We start from the raw sequence: 4354 nt of genomic DNA on the forward strand, positions 1-4354 counted from the left end.
CAAACAATGGACATACTTTTTTTTTTTTTTACTTTTTGTTAACTTAATAAATATATGTCTAATTTGTTTTAGTTTCCATTTCTTACCACTAGAAAAGACTGTGCATCTTTTCTTGTTTATTTGTCACTTATTTTTCTTCTTTTGTTAGCGGCATGTGAACGTCCTTTCATAATTTCCTACTGAGTTGTTTCACTTTTCTTAAATATTTAAATTTCTTATTGATTGTGTGAGCTAATATACAATCAATGCTACATGTTAAGCACTTAATAAATACAGCGTCTAATACATAGCAATAACTCAATATAGGTTGTGTCAAAGAAATAAAATTAAAAACAAAATTTTCTCCCAACCCAGGAACGTCTTCACAAAGGCAGTAGAGGAAGAAAATGGTTTTATTATTGAATAAGCATCACGACAGAATGTGGTGCGCCTCACAGGCAACCCACTAAGAAATTGTGAAGATAAAAAGGAATCTCATCCTTTTATACAGGCAAGAGAATAAAACCCATCACAAAATGTTTTCAAGATAAATAATAACTAGTCTTCAAGTAAGCGGACTGGATAGCACCATTTGTTAAACATAGTTCATCCTAGATTCATCTGGTACTTGGGGTGACCATCTGTGTTAGCTCATTGGCTTTATCCAGAGGAAAAACAAACTTTTAATAGCTTTTTGACAAGAGGCAGTTTTGCAACTTGGAGCAAGGTGCCTGACAAAATTAGGCTTCTAGCCTCCCACAGTAAGGGAAAATAGGGGCGCTAACTTCCTTTATAATTCGTTTTCAAAGAGATGGCTCCCAGGTCCTTGACAAAGCCATTCCTGGGACATTAAGCTGACAAGAGGCCTATCTAGTTTTCAAAAGGTTTATATACATTTCAAAGGGATGAGAAAGTGCCTTTATAGTACGTGTTTTAAGTAAAACAAAAGGAAGACAGGAAAATTTCTTTCCTTGTTTTCAACGGAGAATTAAGCTTCTTAGTTTTAATTTGTATTTGTCTGCACAGTTGCTGATAATATGATCTTTGTTGTCTGCATGTGCTTTATATATTAGGAATATTACATTTTAGTTTATAGCTAGGGTAACATGGCAAGTCTCTGTCTCTAAAGAATAAAAATAAAAAGTTATTTGGGTGTGGTGGCGCAAGCCTGTAGTCCCAGCTACTTATAGGAAGCTGAAGCAGGAGGATCACTTAAGCCCAGGAATTTGGGGCTGCAATGAGCTATGATTGCACTCCAGCCTGGGCAACAGAGCAAGACCTCTATACTCAGTAAAACGAAAGTAAAACAAAATAGAAACAAAATCAAATAAACCTAACTCTGGCCTTCCAAGCTTCTACTAGTCTGGCCCTTGTTACCTCTCAGATCTCGAATGGAATGATTCTCCCTGGCCTCCCCACTCCAGCCGCAGGGGAGCCCACCTCAGGGGTTTGGTCTGACTGTTGCCTTTGCCTGGACCAGTGCCCCTTAGATATGTGTGCAGTCTTCTTCCTTCTCAATTCTATTTTCTTAAATGCCACTTTCTTACTGAAAGTTACTTTAACTACACTGTTTAACGTGATATATTCACCCTGCCACACCAGTCCCACCTGGAACTTCCCATTCCCTCCGTCCCTATTTTTATTTATAGCACTTATCACCTCTTGCTAGACTAGCTTATTTATTGTTTGTCTTCTCTGTTTCACTAGAAGGTAGTCAGGAATACCCAATATTTTGTCTACTTTGTTTACTCCTCTATTTCCAGGGCTGAGTAAGCTCTAAATTTTATTTTTGAAATGAATTAAAATAACTAACTAATAAATATATCTTGGTATCTTTCAATATATATTTGACTTTTCACTGTGCACAAAGGGTTTTTTCATAAGAAAAAAATAGTTTTTCTGTACCTTAAATCTATTACTTTTTCCATTTACAGTGTCTGAGTTTCATGTCCTCCTTAGAAAATTTTTCCAACAATAAAATTTTTCATCATGCTAAAGAAAAAGAACAGCAGCAGAAAAACAGGTAAAATCTGAATGAAGGCTGATGATTAATTAATGCAACCTACCAGTGTTTGGTAGTTAGTTTTGACATGTACCATAGTAATGTAGGATGTTAACAGTAGAGGAAACAGAGTAAGAGGTTTATTTGCAACCTTTCTGTAAATCTAAAATTATTCTAAAATAAAATGAGAGACGGGACTAGCTGGATTTCCTAGGCCAACTAAGCATCCCTAAGCCTAGCTGGGAAGGTGACCACATCCAACTTTAAACATGGGGCTTGCAACTTAGCTCACACCCAACCAATCAGAGAGCTCACTAAAGTGCTAATTAGGCAAAAACAGGAGGTAGAGAAATAGCCAATCATCTATCCCCTGAGAGCCCAGCGGGAGGGACAAGGATTGCGATATAAACCCAGGCCTTCCAGCAGGCAATGGCAACCCCCTTTGGGTCCCCTCCCTTTATATGGGAGCTCTGTTTTCACCCTATTAAATCTTGCAACTGCACTTTTCTGGTCCATGTTTGTTACAGCTTGAGCTGAGCTTTCGCTCGCCATCCACCACTGCTGTTTGCCGTTGTGCCGGACCCGCCACTGACTTCTATCCCTCCGGATCCGGCAGGGTGTCTGCTGTGCTCCTGATCCAGCGAGGCGCCCATTGCTGCTCCCGATCAGGCTAAAGGCTTGCCATTGTTCCTGCACGGCTAAGTGCCTGGGTTCGTCCTAATCGAGCTGAACACTAGTTACTGGGTTCCATGGTTCTCTTCTGTGATCCATGGCTTCTAATAGAGGTATAACACTCACCTGGCATGGCCCAGGATTCCATTCCTTGGGATCCGTGAGGCCAAGAACCCCAGGTCAGAGAACACGAGGCTTGCCACCATCTTGGAAGCGGCCCACCACCATCTTGGAAGCTGCTAGCCACCATCTTGGAAGTTCTGTGAACAAGGACCCCCGGTAACATTTTGGCGACCACGAAGGGACCTCCAAAGTGGTGAGTAATATTGACCCTTTTGCTTGCTATTCTGTCCTATCCTTCCTTACAATTGGAGGAAAATACCGGGCACCTGTCGGTCAGTTAAAAACGATTAGCGTGGCTGCCAGACTTAAGACTCACGTGTGAGGCTATCTGGGGAAGGGCTTTCTAACAACTCCCAACCCTTCTGGGTTGGGGATGTTGGTCTCGCTGGAGCCAGCTTCCACTTTTAATTTTCTTGGGGAAGCCAAGGGCTGACTAGAGGCAGAAAGCTGTCCTCCCGAACTCCTGGCAGTAGCCGGTTGAGATCACGGCGCAGCCAGAAGTCTCTACTCAACAGTCGCCCATGTGTGCGCCCCTACCTTTCCTTCTGACCCATACCTCCTGGGTCCCAACCACGACTTTCTTGAAAGTGTAACCCCAAAATTCTCCTTACCTCTGAATCTACTCCTCTGATCCCTGCCTCCTAGGTACTAATGGTTCAGACTTTCATTTCCTCTAGCAAGTTGTATCTCCAAAGGGATCTAAGGAAGCTCTATGCTGTGTCCTTAGGCACCTAGGCTATAACCCAGGGAGTTTTATCCCTGGAGTCCCTCCTGATTTAGGTATACAGCTCTGGACATGGGCAGTTATGTAGGACCCATTCCCCACCATCCTTGCCAGGGCCCCAAGTTTGTAATGGCTAAGAGAGGGACAGTGAGAGACAGAGAGAGAGAGATGAAGAGAGATAGAGAGACGGAGAGAGAGGGGGATGGAGAAAGAGATAGAGCGAGTCAAAGAGAAAAAAAAAAGACAAATAGTAGAAAAAAAGTGTGCCCTATTCCTTTAAAAGCCAGGGTAAATTTAAAACCTGTAATTGATAATTGAAGGTCTTCTCCATGACCCTATAACACTCCAATGCCACTTTGTTGTGAGTGTAAATAAGGGCGTAGCCCAAAAGCACTGAGGCCACTGACAACCTATGGCTTTCCTATCAAAAATCCTTAACCCAGTAACCCTTGGATAGGCCGAATGCATTCATTCGGTAGCGGCAACTGCTTTGCTAAAAGTAGAAAAGTAACTTTTAGAGGAAACCTCGTTGTGAGCACACCTCACCAGTTCAGAATTATTCTAAGTCAAAAAAAAAAAAAAAAAAAAAGCAAAAAGGTAGCTTACTAACTCAAAAAGCTTAAAGTATAGGGCTATTATATTAGAAAAGGGTAATGTAACTCCAACCACTGATAATTCCCTTAACCCAGCAGATTTCCTAACAGGGGTTTTAAATCTTAATTACCATACAAAGGTCCGACCAGAACTAGGAGGAACTCCCTTCAGGACAGGACGACAGATGGTTCCTCCCAGGTGATTGAGGAAAAAACCACAATGGGTATTCAGTAATTGATACAGAGACTCATGTGGAAGCA

At 41.8% G+C, this 4354-nt stretch overlaps 3 annotated features.

Moving 5' to 3' along the window:
- Positions 224-1022: an enhancer, noted in NCBI's record as "OCT4-NANOG-H3K27ac hESC enhancer chr2:76096873-76097671 (GRCh37/hg19 assembly coordinates)". NCBI's record gives its function as "activates a minimal SCP1, AML or CMV promoter by ChIP-STARR-seq in naive and primed H9 embryonic stem cells {active_cell/tissue: H9 hESC(naive and primed)}" and the evidence as "EXISTENCE:reporter gene assay evidence [ECO:0000049][PMID:30033119]".
- Positions 1023-1820: an enhancer, noted in NCBI's record as "OCT4-NANOG-H3K27ac hESC enhancer chr2:76097672-76098469 (GRCh37/hg19 assembly coordinates)". NCBI's record gives its function as "activates a minimal SCP1, AML or CMV promoter by ChIP-STARR-seq in naive H9 embryonic stem cells {active_cell/tissue: H9 hESC(naive)}" and the evidence as "EXISTENCE:reporter gene assay evidence [ECO:0000049][PMID:30033119]".
- Positions 2097-3296: an enhancer, noted in NCBI's record as "CDK7 strongly-dependent group 2 enhancer chr2:76098746-76099945 (GRCh37/hg19 assembly coordinates)". NCBI's record gives its function as "activates an origin of replication core promoter dependent on BRD2, BRD4, P300/CBP, MED14 and CDK7 cofactors, with strong dependence on CDK7, by STARR-seq in HCT116 cells {active_cell/tissue: HCT116}" and the evidence as "EXISTENCE:reporter gene assay evidence [ECO:0000049][PMID:35650434]".

Source organism: Homo sapiens, chromosome 2 (assembly GCF_000001405.40).
Source record: "Homo sapiens chromosome 2, GRCh38.p14 Primary Assembly".
NCBI lineage: Eukaryota > Metazoa > Chordata > Mammalia > Primates > Hominidae > Homo > Homo sapiens.